We start from the raw sequence: 21,035 nt of genomic DNA, 5'->3' as shown, positions 1-21,035 counted from the left end.
TGTATTAGGTCTAATAGCCAGATCCTGGTAAATATCTGCCTCATGGAGTTTCTGTAAATGACAAAACTTCAAAAATGCTAGTCTATGCAATCATTATCATCATCACTATAAACATCTGGAAACAGTAAAGCCGAGTGTGTAGATGCACTTGGATATCTATTTTATTATGAAATTCTTACAATTGGGATTTAAGGAAGAGCTTTTGTGAAAAGTTCTGCAGACTGGCATTTCATATTGCATCTTTGCACCACACACCATGATCTACAGAGAGTGGTTACAAGCACTGAGCTTAACATGTTCTGGTACCCTACCCACCTCCCCACTTGGGAACATCCCTGGCTGTACTGTGTGTGAAGGCTGGCATCCAACTAGGTTCCATCTTGGCTTTCCATGTATCCCCTGGGTACTGGAGGGCTGGAGGATATTGATTCAGGAAAACAAGATTCCAGGCTAGAATTCTTAGAATAGTGAAAAGAATTCAGTACTAAGTTCATGACTTTTTCTGTTAATAAAAACTTCTTCGTCTGGCCACTATTTGAAAAACACATAGCAATTAAGCACATTTTAGTTTACCACGTCCATACTTAGAATAACTACAGATAATTCTGAGTCTTAATGGGATCTTTTGCACCACCCCCCACTTTAATCAACAGAGCCAGAAATTATTTGTATATCCTTCTATCTAAAGCACCAAGAATACTTATTCTTGCCTGTGCTGAGACTTCTTGATAGATATTATCACACATGGGGAAATGTGGCATCAACTTCTACAAGAATTCAAGACACTTGAAGAGCGAGTCTCTTAGATAAAACCAGGAAAAAAAAAAAACCTGAGGTTAAAAAAAATTCTAAAACATAGAACTTATTTAATTTAAAAATATTTATAGAAAATTATGACTTAGATGATCTTCTTATAAATAACAATTACATGAAATATCTTCAAACACACCAACTTGTTTTTCTCAGCCTATCCTTTTTTAGAATGTCTAGTGGTAGACATAAAGAGTTGGAAATGGTTTATTATAACAGAAATTTCTGTCTGTTATTACCAAAGAGAAATGTATTGAGCTTAATATGTTAGGTTTGGGAAATCTATTTTCATCTGCTATAACCAAAGGTCTATCATAAGTGTGACATGGTGGACTTCTAGATTCCATCTGCCCTCTGCTCTTGATGCCCTAAGATAGACTTCATGTTTTATATGCTTATTGAGTAAAAACCCAGATTCCAAAATTTAAACTAAACCTCTTAATGTCTGTGAGGAAAATAAAAGTGATAAAAAAGGTAACCTTCAGGAGAACTAAACATGCACATATCTATAAGACATTGAGCTATGCTCACTAAATGTTGCAGACATTATCTCCCATTTAACTCTGCTTCAAACAAGATCTTATCCATTCAAATATCTCTTCACTAATAAGAAGACACGGTCTCCAAAGTGCTTTCTTTTAAGTTTATGAGACAGAAAAGAAATAAATATGTAGAAGTAATATTACTTTTGTGGTGATTATAAAACCTGTCCATTAATTTGTTGACACTTATCAAAAGTAGAGTTTAATTCCCCTCTTCTCAAATATGGAACAGCCTTAATGACTTGACTCTCTAATAAGTAGACAGTGGTGGAAATGATGCTGTTGACTTCCAAGGCTAGGTTAGAAAAGTCTAGTTTATGAAAGCCAGAGTCAATGTAGTGCCTCTTCCCTTCCCCCTCCCCTGTCTCTCCATGCTTGCCCTGGGAACCCAGCCACCATATTGTGAAGAATCCCAGGTACATTGTGAGGAAACACATACAGCTACTCTGGCCACCAAGCCCAGCTAAGGTTCCAGCCACCGGGCAGATCAATCACAAGACTCGTGTGAGAACAAGACTTCAAATGATTCTAGCCCTCCACCCAAAACCTGCCACAGCTAACACTAAGTCAGACAGAAATGCACTATCTCTACCAGGCTTGCCAAAATTGAAGATTTGTAAGCAAAATGAATGTTGTCATCATGTAAACCTCTGTGTTCTGGAGTGGGTTTTAGTGCAGCAATAAATAATGGGAGCAACCCTATAATTGTAACTAGAGCACCTGCACTTTAAGAATCAGCTGTACTTCAAATAACACATTAGCAGAGGAGCATAGAGCTGGTGGTAGGTGCTCCCACCGTGTCTCAGGCTAAGCAGGGGGAATGAGCGGCAGCTCCAGAATTTCGAGCCTATCTAGTTTTGCTCTAGCTTTCCCAGTTTTGCTCATTCAGAAGGTAGATCTCAGTATTTGTCATTAACACTCTTCCTGGTCCTACCCCTTTTCCCATAAGGAAGCCCTAATTCTTTACTTCCCTTTAGGTAATTATAGCTGGACATAACTCTTTTCACTCTGTATATTTGTCCATGATGTTTGCCCTACCTGGGATGCCTTCTCTGTTCTAGCCTTGAAATATCAGTTTTAGAAAAATGTCTTATCTAAGTGAAGCCTGGAGGTCATGAACATACCAGTACAGGGGTTCGCCAGTACAGGGGTTTGCCAGTACAGGGGTTCTCCAGCTCCAAGTAACACAAAACTACCCTGGCTTACTAAAGCAAAAACTAGAAACAGAGAGAAAAGAATTTGTGGTAAGGGTTTAGGATGGATCACAGAATTCAAGGAAAAAGCTAAAGATCTAGTTTTCTCTGAAGAGATAGTAACCAAGACTCTTCCAGGAGTCAAGGTGGTAGAAACCAGTGGACATTTTCTAGGGGAACACCAGCTAGACACAGCCTCATGGCTTTTCAGTCTTTGGATCACTCAGTTCAAGAATTAGCTTCCCAGGAAAAAGCACTTTATTGCCTACTTTGGGCCATGTAACATCTCTTTGTCTAGGGGAAGATGGAGTGTCTTGATTGATCGTCCCACCAAGACTCCATCTCCCTCCAATGGGAGAGGAGTCATTTGCCAAAGTCACATCTACATATTGTCCACCCAGTGTCCACTACAACAGGCGATGCTACCAACAAAGTCATGAGCTCTCATTATTCATCCCTCTAGCTTCTGTCACTTCTCTTTTAGAACACTTCTCACAATGACAAATTATTAAATTTCTGGATAATCATTGCTTAAGATTTGAGTTTCCTATGAAGTCCACGAGAGGAGGGACCAATTCTGTCTAACTTCTCACCATAGTCTCAGCACCTAGTCCAATACTTAGCACCAAGGTGCTCAATAAATATTTGTTGGATATGTGAAAAGGCACTTTATCTTTGTTTTGTTATTATTTGTTGATATATACAGTTTACACCACAGAACAAAGTTTTGGTCAACAACAGACTGCACATATCATGGTGGTCCCATAAGATTATATCTTATTTTGTATTGTACGTTTTCTATGCTTAAACACACAAATACCAACATGTTACAATTGGCTACAGTATTTGTACAGTAACATGCTATACAGGTTTGTAGCCTAGGAGCAACAGGCTGTACCATACAAACCTAAGTGTGTAGTAGGCTCCACCATCTAGATTTACGTAAGTACACTCTATGACATTCACACAATGATGAAATTGCCTAACAACACATTTCTCAGAATGTATTCTTGTCATTAAGTGACACATCACTGTATGTATGTGTGTGTGTATATATATGCACATGCATACATATATAAACATATATATATATATTTACCTCTGTCCCTAGATAGGATAGTAGACTCCTGTGGGTAGAGTCTATTTTCCCTTAATATTCAGTAAATATTGGCTAAGTGTGGATGATGTCCAGAAACATCGAATTCAGAAGCAGTTCAATTAAAAAAACATTTATCTGGCACTTAATATATGCAAGATCTATTGTCTGTCCTCTAGGGGCTAGCTACCCAGCAAGGAGGCAGACAAATGCACGAGTCATGATAATACTAGGCAAACAGTGGAAATGGCTGCAAAAGAGGCTGTAAAAAATGAGAAAGTAGTTGGAAAGCAGCAGAAGGCAAGAGTCATTGTAATGTTGGAAATCAAAAAGCTTAGCCAGAATATTTTGACCACAAGAAAGGGGGAAGAGCAACTGGGGACACACTTAATAGGTGTTAATTTTTGAATAAATTAACCTCTCAATAAATTCATTATAAGCGACTTAGACAGCACGTCAAGATATTAAATGGTTATTTGCACCTGGCCCTTTCACCTAATTGAAACTGAAGTGTTATTAGCTAACAATGTACTGCTCTGATGATTCTGTGGATTTTTTCATAAAGGCTGATAGCTGTTAGGAAAAAAGAAATACATCTCTGGAGGATCAGAAGACCAAAAAATAAGGTGTCCTTCCAAAAGATAGTGTAAAAGTATTGCCATTTTCATGAGCAAATTGTTGTAAAGAAAGTCTTAGAGTGAGGAAGCCTATTTTAATATTTTTAATTAAAAAGGTAAGCTACAATTTTGTTTTAAATTTTTTAATTGACTAATAATAACCATATATATTTATGGAATACACTGTGATGTTTTGTTATATGTATACATTGTGGAATGATTAAATCAAGCAAATGAACACATCCATCATACCACATACTTATTTCTTTGTGGTGCAAACATTTAAAATATACTCTTTTGAGAATTTTGAAATATACAACACATGATTATTAACTATAGTTACCATGCTATTATTAACTATAGTCCCTGAAACATATTCCTCCTAACTGAAACTTTCTACCCTTTGACCGACATCTCCCCTTTCCCCACCCTAATCCCACAACCTGCAAATTCTCAGGGATGTCAAAGACCGTAAAAATTTCAAGGACCCCAAGGAAGGAAGATGTTTGAACCACCATGGAACATATAAGAGAAATCTGTACCAAAAAAAAAAAAAAAATCTTGCCTAGAAAAAGCAATTCTTCTCTTAAGTGCTGACTTTTAGTCAGGACTGATTATGAAAAGAATACACAGCCTGGCATGGCGGCTCACGCTTATGATCCCAGCACTTTGGGAAGGCTGAGGCGGACGGATCACCTGAGGTCAGGAGTTTGAGACCAGCCTGGCCAACATGGCGAAACCCCGTCTCTACCAAAAATACAAAAATTAGCTGGGTTTGGTGGCGGGTGGCTGTAATCCCAGCTACTCAGGAGGCTGAGGCAGGAGAATTGCTTGAACCCAGGAGTTGGAGGCTGCAGTGAACCAAGGTTGCGCCATTGCACTCCAGCCTGGGTGACAGGAGCAAAACTCTGTCTCAAAAAAAAAAAAAAAAAGAATACACTTAACTTTTATAAAAATATGAAAAATTGGAAGATCTAGATGGTGGTTGGAAATGAATGGTGTGGAAAGGCGGGTCAGAGCTGGGTGACAGGCTCAGTAAAGAAGGCTAGACCCAATTCATGCCATAGAATGAAGATGTGGATTTTCATTCCTGTGTACGAGGTAGCCCAACCTTGTATTTGTTTTCCCAACATCATTCTTTCCACGCTGACACTGCTCAGGGGTGCAGCCAAGTGGAGACAGATTTAAGTTTGGTTACCCAATGACAAAACCACAGAGGGAACAGTAGTAACATCTGGGACATCTAAGGGGCGATACAGCTATAAATTCAGTGAGGAAAGTCAAAACTGTCACATTATATGAAGGGGATGGTCATTGCCACTGGCTTAAAAGAGAGTTTGTCTCTTCTACTTAACATTAACACAAACATGTACATTAATTCAATCTGAAACCATGATTTAATATTTTTCAATATCACAATATATTTATTGACATTGATCGACACATGTTAAATGAGTGGTTTTAGAAGTGCCAATGATTTCTAAGAAATGAGCATAGGGCATGAATATGTAATTAAAAATGTGTGGGGTTGCCATGGCAACAACAACAACAACAGAAAGATGTTCTTTTACTGATCCTGATGACTTTGGTGTATATAAGAGGAACTAGGTTTTACGGATCTCAACCAAAATGTGTAAATATTCCCAACAAAGGTTATAACATGTTTCTTCCCAATGATGGCTCCAAATGTCAATTTAAGCTACTTAAATATTCACAGCATGTTCAAACCCTTGGAAGTGTGGCACTGATAGATTTTTTTGAGGTTGCCATCTTATTTTTGGTTTGTTCCTTTTGAAAAATATATGAAAAGGGTTCATTGTTGAAGATCTGAAAATTCCAATTAAACATTGGCTATGAAAATTCCTTAAGGAATGAGGACTCCATGAATTTCTAGTTGAAGGCATGTTCCCATGCCTAACACATAACTAACTTTTTGAGAGAAGCACTTCCATTTAGGGGCAGAAAAGAGCTCTCTGCTGGGACAGAGAAGACCCACAATCTAGTCAAATCCCTTGCTTCCAGAGCAAAGCTTATGCTCTCTACATCTAGCTTGAGTTTTGGCTTTCATGGAGAAAGCTACGTTGAGAAAAGAGATCTTAACGTTCAGAGCCCCTGCTGATCATTAATCTCTGATCCACGCTCCCAAGAGAACCCCCATCAGAATAAGTCACTTCTCAGACCTTGGAAAAATACGCATTGGGCTAAGAAGTGAGGGGAAGGGGCTTTCATTATTAAACACCACCATGTGCAGGCATCTTATTTGCCTTCCTTTACATAATCTTCAACATCCCATCAGATAGGTATTTTAACACTCATGTTTCAGAAGAGGAAACGGAGACATAAGCTCATAGCCTTGTGCCTAGGTCAAGGGTGGTGATTCAAACCCAGGTTACCATCGTTCTGCAGCACCATTTTTCTAAAATCGTCATAACACTTCAATGGAATGTTTCTCTCTCTCTGAAATTTTCTGTAGTTTACCCTGATTAGGTCACAAAAGCATCCTATGAAAGATCTCTGGACATTTAACTAGAGACAAATGCTCTGTTCCCAACATGGGCAACAGTGTGGTCAAGGCAGAGAGATAGAAGTGCTTGGCCTGGAGCTGGCAAATTCCCTTGGAGGGAGGGAGGGACAGCGGATGCCCCTGGGAGGAACTCCACCCAAAGGCAGGCTGCCCCCAGGGTATCTGACCACACCACCAGGGAGAAAGGCATTTGCTGCCGCCCACAGACATCTGGCTTCATAACACTTCTCAAGGCCAACATTATTTTTAAAATCGCTATTATTTGAAAGAATCACACCTTCCAACATTTTAAATTTAGAGAAGAGTGAGATGTGTAACTGCCCTGTTCCATCCTTGCTCACCACCTCACTTATGTACTCTCCATAAGATGAAGAGAGTGAACTATTGTCCCCTGTAGAACCTCCATTTATGAGTCTGAATTCTTTCCTGAATGAACTTGAAGAGAAAGCAAAGACTGAAGAAGGGGTGTTGCCATTAGGAAGCAAAGATCCCCAGAACCTTTCTTTGATCAGGAGGACCCTTGGGGGCTCATGTTTCCTTATGGAGAAGCATGGTTACTTCCAAAGGCCACAATTTTTGTTGGTTTTATGGTATCTGCTGCCCAAAATTAATCAGATTCTTTCTAAACATAGCAAGTACATTTTCAACTCTTAACAACGTGTGATATTCATTGAGCTCTGGTTACATTCCAGGTACTCTATAGGCTTTTACATGTGTCATTTCACTTCAAGCTCAAGATTGCCCTGTGGCGTACCAGCAATACCTCCATGCAGAGATGGGGAAGCTGAAGCTTCAACATGTTATTACCTTACCCAGCCAGTGAAAAAGTGGTAGAGCCGGACTCAAGCCCACACAACCTGACTCCAGAGCCTTGAAGCACTACTTTATAGTATAAGACAATGGCCAGGTGCAGTGGCTCATGCCTGTAATCCCAACAGTTTGAGAGACCAAGGTAGCAGGATAGCTTGAGGCCAGGAGTTCAAGACCAGCCTAAGCAACAAAGTGAGACCCCCCCTCTCTTGCAAATTAAAAAAAAAAAAATTAGCTGAGTGTGATGGTACACGCCTGTAGTACCAGCTACTCAGGAGGCTGAGGTGGGAGGATCGCTTGAGCCCAGGAGATTGAGGCTGCAGCCATGATCATACCACCGTACTCCAGCCTGGGTGATAGAGCAAGACCTTGTCTCAGAAAAATAATAAAAATAAAATAAATAAATGAATGAATAAATAAATAAAATGTATTGGCTTCTGAGAGAACACATGTAAAAACGTAAGTAAATAAAAATAAAAAAATAAAAAATATATAAGACAAACAAGAATTTTGGGAGGAGAATAAAGGCAGAAAAGACAGGCAGGAAGAAATAATCTAATTCATCCTCCTTTTGGACATGATTAAGAGACAATCCCTAAAGAAGAGCAATTGTGTTCCACGGCATATGCACCAAACCCTGTGACGAAAACATTGCTAATGTCATTTGTCACAAACCGCTTAATACTCCTTTCTTCTTCCCTACTTTTTGGAGATAATAGTTTTTTTCTCAAATGAGGTTTCTAACCAACAAACAACTCTTGAAAAGTATGGTTTCGAAGGCTTAAAATTGCCTAAAAAGCTACCAGAAATGATCAAGTAAAATAGAATGTCAATGTATGATGCTGATTGTGGGCTATTTCAGGGTGGGGTCCCCATGTCTTGTTCAGTTTTGCATCTTCAGTATACCTTTCAGTGGGTGAGCTAGGTGATCAATTCTATGTGGTGTCTTCTCTACTGAGTCCTCAGGACACAGCACAGCCCCTACCACAGAGCAGGTGCTCAACAAACATTTATTGAATGGATCAATTCACTGTTCCATGTTGAATACATAAACTGTATTGAATAGAAAAAACTCATTTAATAAATAGGGCAAATTATGGGTTTTCACTTCTATTCTACACTGTAACTACACAGTATATATGTACCTCTCCTTTGTTTTGAAAGTGGCACAAAAGTGAGAAATCCAGTTTCAAAACACTTCACAGCAAAGGAGAAAAACATAAGAAGTGGAGACAACAGAGAGTTGATGAAAATTCCTAGGAAAAGTAATTTCAAAGATTCAATATAGAAATGATCCCAGGATATCATGGTTTTATTTTCATCAATTGTTTTATTTTGAGAGGAAAAGATTGTTCTTCTAACTTCTATAAACATGCCCCTACCAAAATAGAATGTTTCTTTGTATGGCTTTGTGACTGTCAGAGAGCAAAGAAGGAAATGTGATGAATTTTGACAGAGAATAATAATAATAATAATAACCCTTTTATTTATTCTTTAGTACCCTCTCTGGAAAAGGGCATATATACTAAGAATGGCATAAAATGACAAATATAATGACACTGTAATTTCAAAGAGTGCAAAATGTTAAAAACTTGATAACCATTGTAAAACAGCTTCATAATTAAATTTATATTGAAAATGTCATCACTTTTTATCTATATATTAAAGATATGAAATCAATTTTTAAAGTATTTAAAAAATAATTCCACATATATATTTGTTTCACCTGATATGCACAGTTGTGCAATTTTGCTTTTATGTTGCATGAAGTATTTCATTATATAAGCTAATTTCAAATATTGTTAAACTAAAAGCTTTACATTATTTTTATGTTCACTTGCTAAACGTTCAAACATAGCCACATTAAAACAAACCATTTCGGCTTTCAGCCATCTATTTTTAAATTTTAAGTCATTTTTTTTTTCTAGGCTGCAAAAGTGTATTACCAAATAAACTGACAAAACATCTCAGCAACTAACGTAAATGTGCAATTTTAATGCCTTCTAATCACACAAATCAATATGAGATTTTTGTACTTGTGCATGACCTTCTTCAAATTATGCCCCCATTTTGGCTGAATCAGAACGAGTGTGGGCCATTTGATAAAAAACCCTAAGTGTGTGAAATAAGAGCCCTCGCTTCTTCTGCCAGACTCCTCTTGACAGAAAGATGATAGAAGCATCACATCCCTGGGAGAGTAAATGCAAACTGACAAGAGATGAGCCTTTAGATGTTGAATATAATCTTGAATTGTGCTTGAAGTGTCTTATTATCTTGTCTTTTGATGTCTGAAGGGGTGGCTCATTGTTAGAAAAAGGAAAACCCTCGTGCATCTTTGCCATCTTTAAAAATTGTTTGGCCTTTAACAACTGCTTTTCCAACTAATGTCCATTTCTCCTGACAATAAATATGGCAGGTCGTCGGCAAGTGACAAACAATTTACTTTACATGCCACACTTTTATGGGTTTTGAGAGCTCATGTGGAAGTATTTTAAAAAGCCCATAGAAATTAGCAGTATTACAAATGTTAAGAGGACTGAGCTCTCCGTGCAGATACTGATGTGAAGTTACTCATCGTGGTTATTTCCTGCTGTTTCTGGTTCTATATCTCACTGGTGCCAGATTCAAAATTCAAGTTCTTTATTTATCATTGACTAAAAATAGCCAGAGAAAATGAAAGAGCAACAATCAGTTCTGACAGATTCCATAAAGGAAATGCATGAATACAGATTTCCAACACACATTGCAATATTCAGAATGGTATATTAAAAAATGCTTATTTCTAAGTAGGAGATCAAGATCAACAATGGGCTTGCTGCATTTTGCCTTTTATCTAAGAATCTTCGGCACGTTTTAATTTTTGCTGCCACTTTGGGTACCCCTTACCCTTTGCATCTACCATTTGTTTTGTGGTTCTTGTTTTAACTTAAAAGTTTAATGATGTTCCTGGTCAACAGGATTTCTTAGCGGCTAAATCACAGTCCTGCTAGTTTTCTGTCACCCAGCCAGATTTTGTGAAAGCTTTCAAGATCTTTTCTCAGACCTCTGTCACTCTAAGAATCCATAAGAATTCTCAAAAGGACCATAAACCGTTACAGGGTTCAGGTTATTGTATCATTATAAAAACATATTGATACTCTACAGATGACAAGACGTGTAGCCACCATTCTAGGCTACTGCAACCACCTCGATGCCATCAGCAATCTCCAATGTGACCAGCTCTTTTTTTGTAAGCAGGCAGCTGTAGACATTAATTCCTTTTAGAACACGAGGCATAATTTTTAACACTTTTCTGATGGCCTGCAGATTCCAGTTGGCTTGTTAGAAAATTACTAGGAGTACAGGATATAATTAATGGGAGAAGTAAATATTCAAACTAGAGCAAAGAAATCAACTAGGCTACCTGAAAATTGGAGCAATTTCTTGGGTAAGGCTTAAGACTAAAACCTGCCTTCATCTTAGGAATCAGAATAAAATGAGCCAATCAACACTTAAAACAGTGACATATGTTCCTTCCAAAAGTTTGTGAAAGTTTTCCCTCATAACTGAGAGGATCCTTGTTCTGGATATTTACCCATTCATAGATTATAGAATAGTGTATGGATTTAATTAAATGGATCCGTTGAAATAGGAGTTTCATGCAATATTTTTTGCATGCTTCTCCTTTTGCAAATAGCAAGCGTCCTTTCTGACACATTTCTATTTTGCAATATTTTGGGAAATGATGTAGGTATATTGAAAAAAATGCCAGTTTTGATGAAGTGCATTTCACTCCCCACATGACTTCCATGTGTATACATTTTTAAATACAGGAACATGTGGGTTTCCATTTGACTTTTTATTCTCCTTTACCCTGGGTCAATTTGAGCAAAAAGTCATGTGCAATAATAATTTTTCATGCTTTTAAAACAGCTTCAAATATTTGCATTTTTAAATCATATTAACCCCTTAGCTTCTCTTCTGCTTTGAGAGTGATGATTCCCTCCTGCAGGAAGTCACCCCAAATCATTAATTTGTAAAAATAAATCTTGCCATATTGGTATTAAAAGACAAATCACCACATATGTGGTCATGAAGAACTGCAAAAGGAGATTAATAATACCACATTAATAGTAAATGTTTAAAATATGATTTCTTTATTGTACACCAATCACTCACTCTACCTTGATATATAGGCGCATATAATCCTTACAGGAATGTGTAACAAAAAATTGTGCTTAATAACTATTGAATAAAATGCCTTTGACTTAAAAAAAGAAAAGGATAAATATTTATATTGTGATATATGTCTATCCCAGAAATAGACAAATATTTAGATTCCCAATATTTAGATCCCAAGAGTCTTCCCTAGCTTGGGTAAGTTGGTATGCTTTAAAAATACATATATTTTCTATAAGTCAAGTTGTCCAAAAACCCCAGATTTCTTTACTGAATTAAACTGCGCAAATCCTGAGGAATCTTCTTGTCTCCCGTGCTCAGTAAATAGCAGCATCGAAGAAGACACTGGAACTTGGATTCTAGCCCAAGTATAGCTGAAGCAATACTACAGTATAACTAGTTTCCCTTTTTTGGTAAGCTATTAATTTTGATAAATTTATCAGGGAACTATTTTTTAAATATACAGGAGAAGTACATTTGAATGATGGATGGATAGCATGAACTAAAAGAAAGCTTATTATTATAAATAAGTCTTTGTTAGTTTTATAATAGAGAAAATACATACATACTACAGATTCAGTAAGACAATTTGAAGCATTATATGTGCATGAAGAAAATATGGAGAAAAGCAGACCATAGACACACACAAATATTTTATACAGATAGCATTACACTTTTTTCACTGTGCACTCACAGTGCCTAAGAAAGAAAATATAGGGAAACAAAAATAAAGTATGGAAGTGGTAAGGAAATGGATAAATTTGCATTGCTATTTTAAAACACTGTGTTAATATCAGTCTTTAAATATGAATTTCTTGGCTTTCACAAACTTCTGTCATAATTATGCTTTTTTTCTCATTAATAGGATGAAATTAAAGAAATACAAAATATTTGGAAGGTACATCAGTCAATCCCAAGAAACACTAATTATTTTACAGGAAAAGATGAAACACTAAGAAAACTACTTAATGCCAAACAATATATGGCAGGATACACGTATTCATTAAATTGTGAAACTGTTTCATGTTGGCTATCATTGGGACATCATAAGTATCCTAAAAATACCTTCATATTCTACTTCATTTGTGAGCTAAACTAACAGGTTTTATTTTGGTTATTTACTAAGAACATTTTTAACCATCTTAATGAATGCAGATTTCATTATACAGTCCCATTTTCAAATGGTCTTTTGTATAGAAAATCTCTGAAGCATTTAGTTCATGTATAATTATATTACTTAGTTTCTCTAATTATAATCTGATCATTTTCCCCTTATATTTTCAAATAGTTTTAATGGCAGTGTGGTCCTCCAATAATAGTGACTTGCTTTGACTATTAGTTATATTGTTCCAGGTAGCTAATTTTTTAATTTAAAAAAAATCACAATATATTCTTGTTACATATAAGACCTTAAAATCACTTAAGAAGGAAAAACTATAAGAGAAGTTTGGGCATGGATTTTCTTTTCCATCCTCAAATAAAATATAGACATTCATATAACATACTAGGAAATTTTTTAAAGTGGAAGCTAATTATTAAGAAGCGATCTTGGGGGTATGCATCTTGGTTAGGTAGTTTTAAAAAATTATCCTGGAATACTTATAAAACAAAGTTAATTTCCATTTCTCTGCGAATGACAAACTTTCTTTAGCCTCAAGAGATCTAATGTTATTCTTTCTGACCTCTGCATTCACACTAAAAGGGCTTAATCCATTTTTGATAGCTCATAAAGTGTCACAGCACAGAGTAGGAGATGTCTCCAAACAAGTCCACCCTTGTTTCCTTTTTATGAAATCTGACTTTGACAATCAGGAGGTGAAAGTTTACATTGAAAAGATTAAGAATCAGATCAACATGTTTAATAATCGACTTCATCAGAAGCCCCCATATTGTCAAAGCACAGATACTCCTTTATGAATAAATATTACTTGAAGGTATTCCCAAAGAAAAGCCCAGTGTTGATAGATTTAGAAGCTCATTCAGAGTCATAGCATGACAAAGTATATGTTCAACTACAAAATACCATATAAAAAATTAAAACAAATTATGCTTACTTGTTTCTCAAAGAAAAGACATTTGAAATTTAAAAAGATAAACATTTAAAAAGTAAGACTGAAATGGCATGAATAAAAGAAAAGCTGAACAAAAACACCAGCTAAGTACAGAACCCAGGAAGACAACAAACAAGAAAATTCCAGAGCCAGGCTGGATATTAAAGAGAAACCCATCCGCTGGAGAATGGCAACTGTTACTATGAGCTTTCTCTAGCTACCTCTGCCTTTGGATATTTTTTAAAAATTTATTAACCTGACAGCGGGAAACTTTATACAGATTGCCCCCTGACAGGGTGCCAGTTTGGTATAAACACTTTGCTATCTTTTTCTTTAGCATAAAAAATCAAGAAACATGTTAAATGGAGCCAGGTGCATATTTGGGCAAATGTGCCTGCTTCTCCGATTGCCTCTGCATTCCCAGGGAAGGCCTGAATAATCAGGGCAGCCCAGTAGCAGAACTGAACCTTCTACCCTTCCTCTTCACATTTACTTTCTCTTTAATGTGTGAATGTCTGATGTATTATTAATCCCCAAATATAAACCAGCAAGGTCGTCAATCAAAGAAAGTGCCAGTTCTCTCACAAATTAACTGTTGGCTGTCTCATAACAAACAAGGTCCACTTGAAACGGTCAAGTGAAATCTCAACGTTGAAGTGGGAGAAAAACGTATTTGGTCAATTCTTGAGAAGGGGAATGCTAGCTGTATAATTAAAGCAGGTAATTAAGAGCGAAAGCAATCTTCTTAAGGGCTGAGCCTTGGGAGCTTGAATCTGGAATGCACCTCTATTTATTAATTATGACATAAACTGGGCTGGGTGAACTACAAAAACACTGTAATACCATGTAACCTTTAAGTCAGAAACATCCAAGACATTCAAGAGACTAAAATGGGATCATTTAAAGGAGGGATGATGTACAGATTAATCTCATTTCTAATACCTTATTTCCTGTTGTTTTTAGGACCGTTTAATGACAACAACAAAATATAAGAATTACAGTAATCAAAATAAAAGGGGAGAAAAAAGTAAAACCATATCAGTATTTTGACTTGCTAATGTGCTACCATGGAGTATCCTTGGACACTGCAATATTGAACTTCCTGCTTTAAACAGAGGCCTGGCCTGAGCACCCCAGGCATAGCAAAGAGCTAGCAAAGGCAGGCACAAGGGAAGGTCCCCACTGACGATTCTGACACATATTGTGCACTGTCCCCCATTGAAGTGCACTTAGAAATGAGCAGCTCCACAAACAAATATGGTGAAAAGTTTGAACACCAGTGCCTCTCTCTATGGATTTATTTTTATTTCAAAGCTTACAAATGAATGTTATTTAAAGTGGATTTATTTATCAATGCAGCATTACGGTGGTTTTTCTGGGGCGGGGCGGGGAATCTACTAAACTAAAATTGTCCAAATGCACACAGCCTCTCACTGATTTTTTTAAAAATACCCCAGTGCATTAGATTTTCTTAAATGGAAGAACTGTATCCAAATGTGCATTTTTTTTTTCACTCAAGTAGTCAGCAGCATGACAAGGGTTTGTTTGACTATTAAACCATAACTGATTTTTGACAAATACCTTATGCATCTCACTTACTTCCACAAATACAGGTTTCTACAGATTTCTTTTAAATAACAGTTTTTGCATAAATCTATTACCAAATTATTTAGTTGATTTAAAAAATACACTTTTAATATTTCTTTAGCAAAACTTTCTTTGGTGAAAAGGGGTATAAATTTTCAATTGATATAGAAACTTTTAAAAATATAGAAGCATGATACATATTTTAAATAAATACATTTCTCTAGGGAATTTACCTCATCACCTCCAAGCTAAATCCCTCTTGGGTTTAAGCTCTTGGTACTGATTACTGGCTCCAGAATAGTTAATCAGAATATTATAAATACCCAAGGTACTGAAGCCTGGAGAGAGACGTTTAAATAAAGTAATGAAGACAGTGATCCCATAATGAAGGCCTCCACTGATGCATGGGCATGAGGCAGCCTCACCCCCAAGTGCAGTCCCCATAATGCCCTGCAATGACCTCCACGCTGACCTGCAGAGACCACTGTCTCAAGGGGTGACAATTTAGTTCTTTATCCTTTTGTCATTGAAAGCGACTCTACTGCCATAAATTCTAATCAAGTCAAACTGGATGGCAATTTGAAAGAAAAAAATCTTATAATGCATGTTTCTGTGAGAAAGATCACAGAAAGGAAAAGAAATACACAATATAGTACATTCTATAGCATGGAGGAATCCCTGAGCCAACTTTAAGGCCTTTTTCAACAGCTCACAGATAAATGGCATTGAAAATACCCACTCTTACAAGTATCATTGCATGCAATTTCTTTTATCCTAGGAAAGCACAATATCAGAAGAGAAAATCAACCACAAATTTTTTACTTTGGATGCAATGCTTATACGTGGTTTTGCAGTTCCATCTCAGCTCAAGGCTCTTAGCTGTGTGCCCAATTCATGCACAATGTAGTACAACTGAGAAGCCGGCCACCGAGACTAACACAGCCACCCAAGATAGCTGGGACTTAAAGGAAGGAAATCATGAGGTTTAACTTCAAACAATAAACATTTTCCCAGGAGAAACACTGTTAATAAATCATCTTTCAAATCTCAAATATATATGGGAGAAAATATTTAGGGCATGTTTTATGAGATCTCACTTCTTCGGCTGAGAGTGCATGGGAAAACTTTAGCACACATATTTTTTCCAAGGATATATATTACTTTTATCCTTTCTGTGATCATTTTCCCGACCAAGTTGTTGATGCTACCATTTGAATTTTAGCATCCAACTTGACTGAATGTGGAACACTGAATTCTTGATGGGCATAACTAAAAGTGAAGCACCACACTGACACGAGTACTATAAATGTCACTAGAGAAACACAGCAACCTCTTCCCTTTAAGATTGTTTGCCAAAGGCCAGTTTTGAGAATGGTTTCCAATATGTACATCACTAGTCACATATTAAATGACTGGCTCTATGTAGCATCACTCATCTGATCACACAGCTAAAGCCCTGTGAGACACAGCGCCAGATTCTCTGATAATCCCCCACCCCCAACCACATGCAAGCCTGTTCTCCTCTATACTGTTTCTTACAGCTCAGAGCTTAGCATAATACAGTCATGAACTGAAAAAGGAGATAGTTATCCTACAGGCTTTAGAAGAATAAATAATGCATCACTTAATGATATCACAGAGAACTACCTAACCACATGTTTCTCAGTGAAATGTGGATTCATCTCTCCTAAGTGTACTTTAGTTTCCATGGCTGTTCAAGTTAAGCAAAACGTTACCACTGATGTAATTACTTTATAAAACACAAGGGCCCTTTTCTGAACTTTCTACTTAGGCTGGCATATGGCTTCTCCTTTCTCCTTCTGGTATTCTGAGCTGCTCAGAGCACTGAAACATTCTGCACAGTATGTTTCCCTTTGGATGCTGTTAAGTGCAGAGGTGCAATTTAAGGAGAGGCATAAAAGGCCCAGTGGTTCCTGGAATTTCCTTTGTTTATCCATAGAGGGCATCAGTATTAGCCCTTCTCCTGCAGTTTTGGGCTGAAGGTACCATACTGTGAGGGAAACAGACTTGTCCTCTGGACTGCTAATTTGAACAGTACACAGATGGGAGAAGAGGCTTCAAAGAAATCCATTTATACTGAAATTTCAGGTACAATAAAAAAACCCTGAGCTCTGCTTGTCTCCTGTTGTTGGTTAATGTCTCTCCATGAAACTAAACATATCAAGATGCACATGATTTGTCATAATCTGGCCATCTCATTAGAGAAGCCCAATTTTCAATAATACGGTGTATATATAGAAGAATGACAGTTTGAGAAAGAAAGTATGTTAGAAAATTATTGTTTAGATAAAAACATAGATGCTGTCAACTACTCAGGAAGAATGCAATTCTTCATTATCAAGTAAAGGGTACAATCAGGACTACATCTAAAAACAAAAAACAGACTTGAACATATGCATATCAAAGAAAATCATAGTTCCTTAAATTGTGTCACCAAAGTTGCTAAAAATTCTGGGACAGAATTATTCTGGAAAGTTTTAGTCAGTTACGTAAACTAGAATTGCTAAGGCCAAGTCCCAGTAATATTAAAAAGTAAGAGCAAAACAGGCCCCTGCAAAGGAAACCTTATGAGAATATTAGAGTGTCTTCCTCCTGATCCTTTCTATTCTTTCTTTCTCATATTGTCTCTAATTTTTTCTCAAGTTCTCAAAACTGTTAATCTACTGCTTTCTTCTTGATCTAATTGGAAACTGGGAAATTCTCACATTGTGTTTGAAAAACAGTCTAGAGACCAAAGACAATTAAGTGAATTCAAAAGGAATGTAAGATGTAGGTTTTGCTGTGTTCTCTCACACAAACTCAGAAGTTGAGAATTTCAAAATGAAAAGTGGATTCCTTCTAAAATCCATTATGATTTTAACATTAAACTACAAATCCTTAGTAAATGCCATTAAACTTTTAATTCAAATCTCTTTGACCCTCTTGGAATTTTGAAGCTTTTTTCTCTACACATGCAAATCAGTAAGACGTAGCATAACAAATCTATAACAGTGTTCAACACTGGGAACCCTAAACAAATGAAAAAAATCAATCACCCCTCTTTTGGATTACTTGAAAGAAAACAAGTTAGAGGTCCAAGCTCAAGTCTACAAAATCCATTTGCTTTTATTTTAAATGCATGCAAAGTTTAGGAACAAAAATGTATTATCTGTAGCTTGTTGAACTCAAAATTGATTACTTTTTAAAAGTCAAAGTGCTTACTTAGCATACTCAACATTAGAGGGGCATGGGCATGGCTTTTACCTTTCTGTAATTTATCATTTTATCTGACTTTTCTCACTACCCTCCTAAAATTGAAGTAAAGGTTTTAGTACATAATTCTTCCTATATGGATAAAAACTTACACTATAAAAAATATTTCTTTAGGGTGAAAATGCTAAAACTCTAATGTGCAGGTTTGGAAATTCATGTCAGAGGTGGCATTGCTGCTTTTCAAAGAAGGGATGCTACCAAAATTTCTTGAAATTGGAATCTAGTATATTGTTAAGCATAAAACAGTATTGTACCCAGAGAAGATCTGAAAAGCAGAGTTTCTCTGTGACATCTCTCTAATGTTTGATTGAGTAAGCATTTAAAATTAGGGAAAAGATTGTCGGTTGAAGCACGCTAGCCTAGAGTTGCCAAACTCTCAGGGCAGCTTGCTTTCTGTCGGTTAAAATAAATAAATAAATAAATAAATAAATAAATAAATAAATTAATTAATTAATTAATAAAGCCTGTGTTTCAAGCCGAATTGCTGACTTTCTTAACAAAGTAGTAGTCTATGTAATGATTTTTTTTTTTTTTTTGAAGTTCAGGTGCTTGACTGTTTCTTACCTGAGACCAAGCAGTACTCTGCCTGATATATATATGTCAGGTTAGTATGTATATATATGTCTATGTGTGTGTGCACACACACGCACTTGAAAATAATTAAAAGCAAACGTTTCAGGAGCAATTGTTCTGAAAACCTAACGTCACTCTGTACCCTAAAGTGCTTCTCCAGCAGAGACATCCATTAACATCTATCACTCAGGCACGCGCCTCAACAACCCGCTCCCCTTTCTGATTAGAGATCACAGTTGCATGAGTTGGCTTACAGAGTGTCATCTGTTTGAATGACAGATGTCTTTGCTGGAGTGGCACTCTGCTTGTTCTTGTTTTGTTTATGAAACAAAGATTCCTAAAAGGTCTTGGGCTGCCTCTACTTTTAGTTATGATGCTATAAACACAATGTGGAAAAGGAGAGGGGTAGAGGAGGGAATCAGAGAACCTGTTTTCTTTCCTCATCACCTTTTTAAAAAAAGAAGAAATATTCATTCTGATTGTGATGACACAATGTTATTTCTCAGAGCAATTCCTGTGTCCACCTTTGTTTACCTGGCATAGCACGACTTGTATTGATATTTTTCAGTTCTCCTCTCCCATCTTTAGACGATAGATAATGTCTTTACTCACCTTCCCCTTAACAAAAGGCTGCGAAGCAACCTGAAACCGAGTCGATATTTACTCAATAAATGTTAACCAATTCTCACAATGGAACCGATTTCCTGATTATTATTACCACTTTCTATTTTTTTCCAAACAATTTCCAGCCTGGGGACTCTAGCAATATTTGACAAGTCAAAATGGGCAGCGAATAAGTTCCTTGTTGGTAAAAGTTTGGAGGACATCCTCCTAGCCGGCTGGAATCAGCTTCAGTGGCTTAGCACCTCCAAGATGCTCCTTTTTAGTACTTACGGGAAAACTGAATGAACAACAGAAAAAAAGGGGGGGTTGGGGGGGTTGGATTGCTCTTCCGGACAACATGGTAGTACTGAAATGAAATACCTAGACAGACTTACCGAAGAGCTTGCTGGGAGTGTCCTCGCTGTCATTTGATTCCACAGGCGCAAGCAGGGGCTCATTCAGCTCGCTGTCTGAAGTAGCAGCCTTGTCCTCACCTCTCAACTCCGCATTCATTTCACTCCGCACTGACAGCAAGGGCTTACTGACTTGTCCAGCTATCATTGGATCCTAGGATGGGCGAAAAGAGTGAAGGGGAGGAAAAAAAAAGTGGCAGATTTAGAGTGCGTGTCCTCTCTCTCCCTCTCCCTCTCTCTTCTCTCTCTCTCTTCCACACACACTCTCCCTCTCTCCTCTCTCTCTTATCTCTGGCTGCTCCCGCTGTTATTGCTGGCTGCAGTCAAGTGAAGAGCTATTACAGATCCGATGAGTTCTCCATTACTCCCCACCCTATTAAAGCTCAACTAGCATGTGAGAGATTCAGGAGGCTTCGGAGGAAAAAAAAAAAAAAAACTTCTTTGAAAGCAACCTAACCAACACAGCTTTAATTGTGGGATATGCTTTTGTGCGAATGTTTTTACACCTTGTTCTGTCTTTAATGCAGTAAGAAAAAAGAAAGTGCTGGGTTTGTACTTCAGCAACATACTAAAAAGGAAGAGCACCCTATGGAGGAACCACGGGCTATTTTAAGAAGCCTTCTCCCCGGGGGAGAAGCAATTAAACCCTATCCCAAGAGCAGAGAAAAAAGATAGGGAGAAAAGAGACCTCGAAAGGCTTTCAATGGAATAAAAGATATTTCTTATGTAAATTCTATAAGCACCCTTAGAAGTTGGCTTCACTGGTCCCAGATTGGGAACCGGAG

General features: G+C 37.1%; 1 protein-coding gene across 5 annotated transcripts in view; it reads right to left on the bottom strand.

The window, feature by feature from the left end:
• POU6F2 (POU class 6 homeobox 2) overlaps positions 1–21,035 on the bottom strand; it is a 490,693-nt gene that overhangs the window by 362,338 nt on the left and 107,320 nt on the right. For 4 of the 5 annotated variants that reach the window (NM_007252.4, NM_001166018.2, NM_001370959.1 and 1 more), the window contains one exon: positions 20,233–20,404. In NM_007252.4, coding sequence (NP_009183.3) covers positions 20,233–20,404 — 172 coding nt within the window. Of the gene's footprint in view, positions 1–20,232; positions 20,713–21,035 lie in introns of those variants that run through there. The other variant, XM_047419845.1, reaches the window with a different exon arrangement.

This window comes from Homo sapiens, chromosome 7, assembly GCF_000001405.40.
Source record: "Homo sapiens chromosome 7, GRCh38.p14 Primary Assembly".
Classification (NCBI taxonomy): Eukaryota; Metazoa; Chordata; class Mammalia; order Primates; family Hominidae; genus Homo; species Homo sapiens.
Note: the sequence above shows the minus strand (reverse complement) of the source record. Positions and strands in the feature narration are given on the sequence as shown.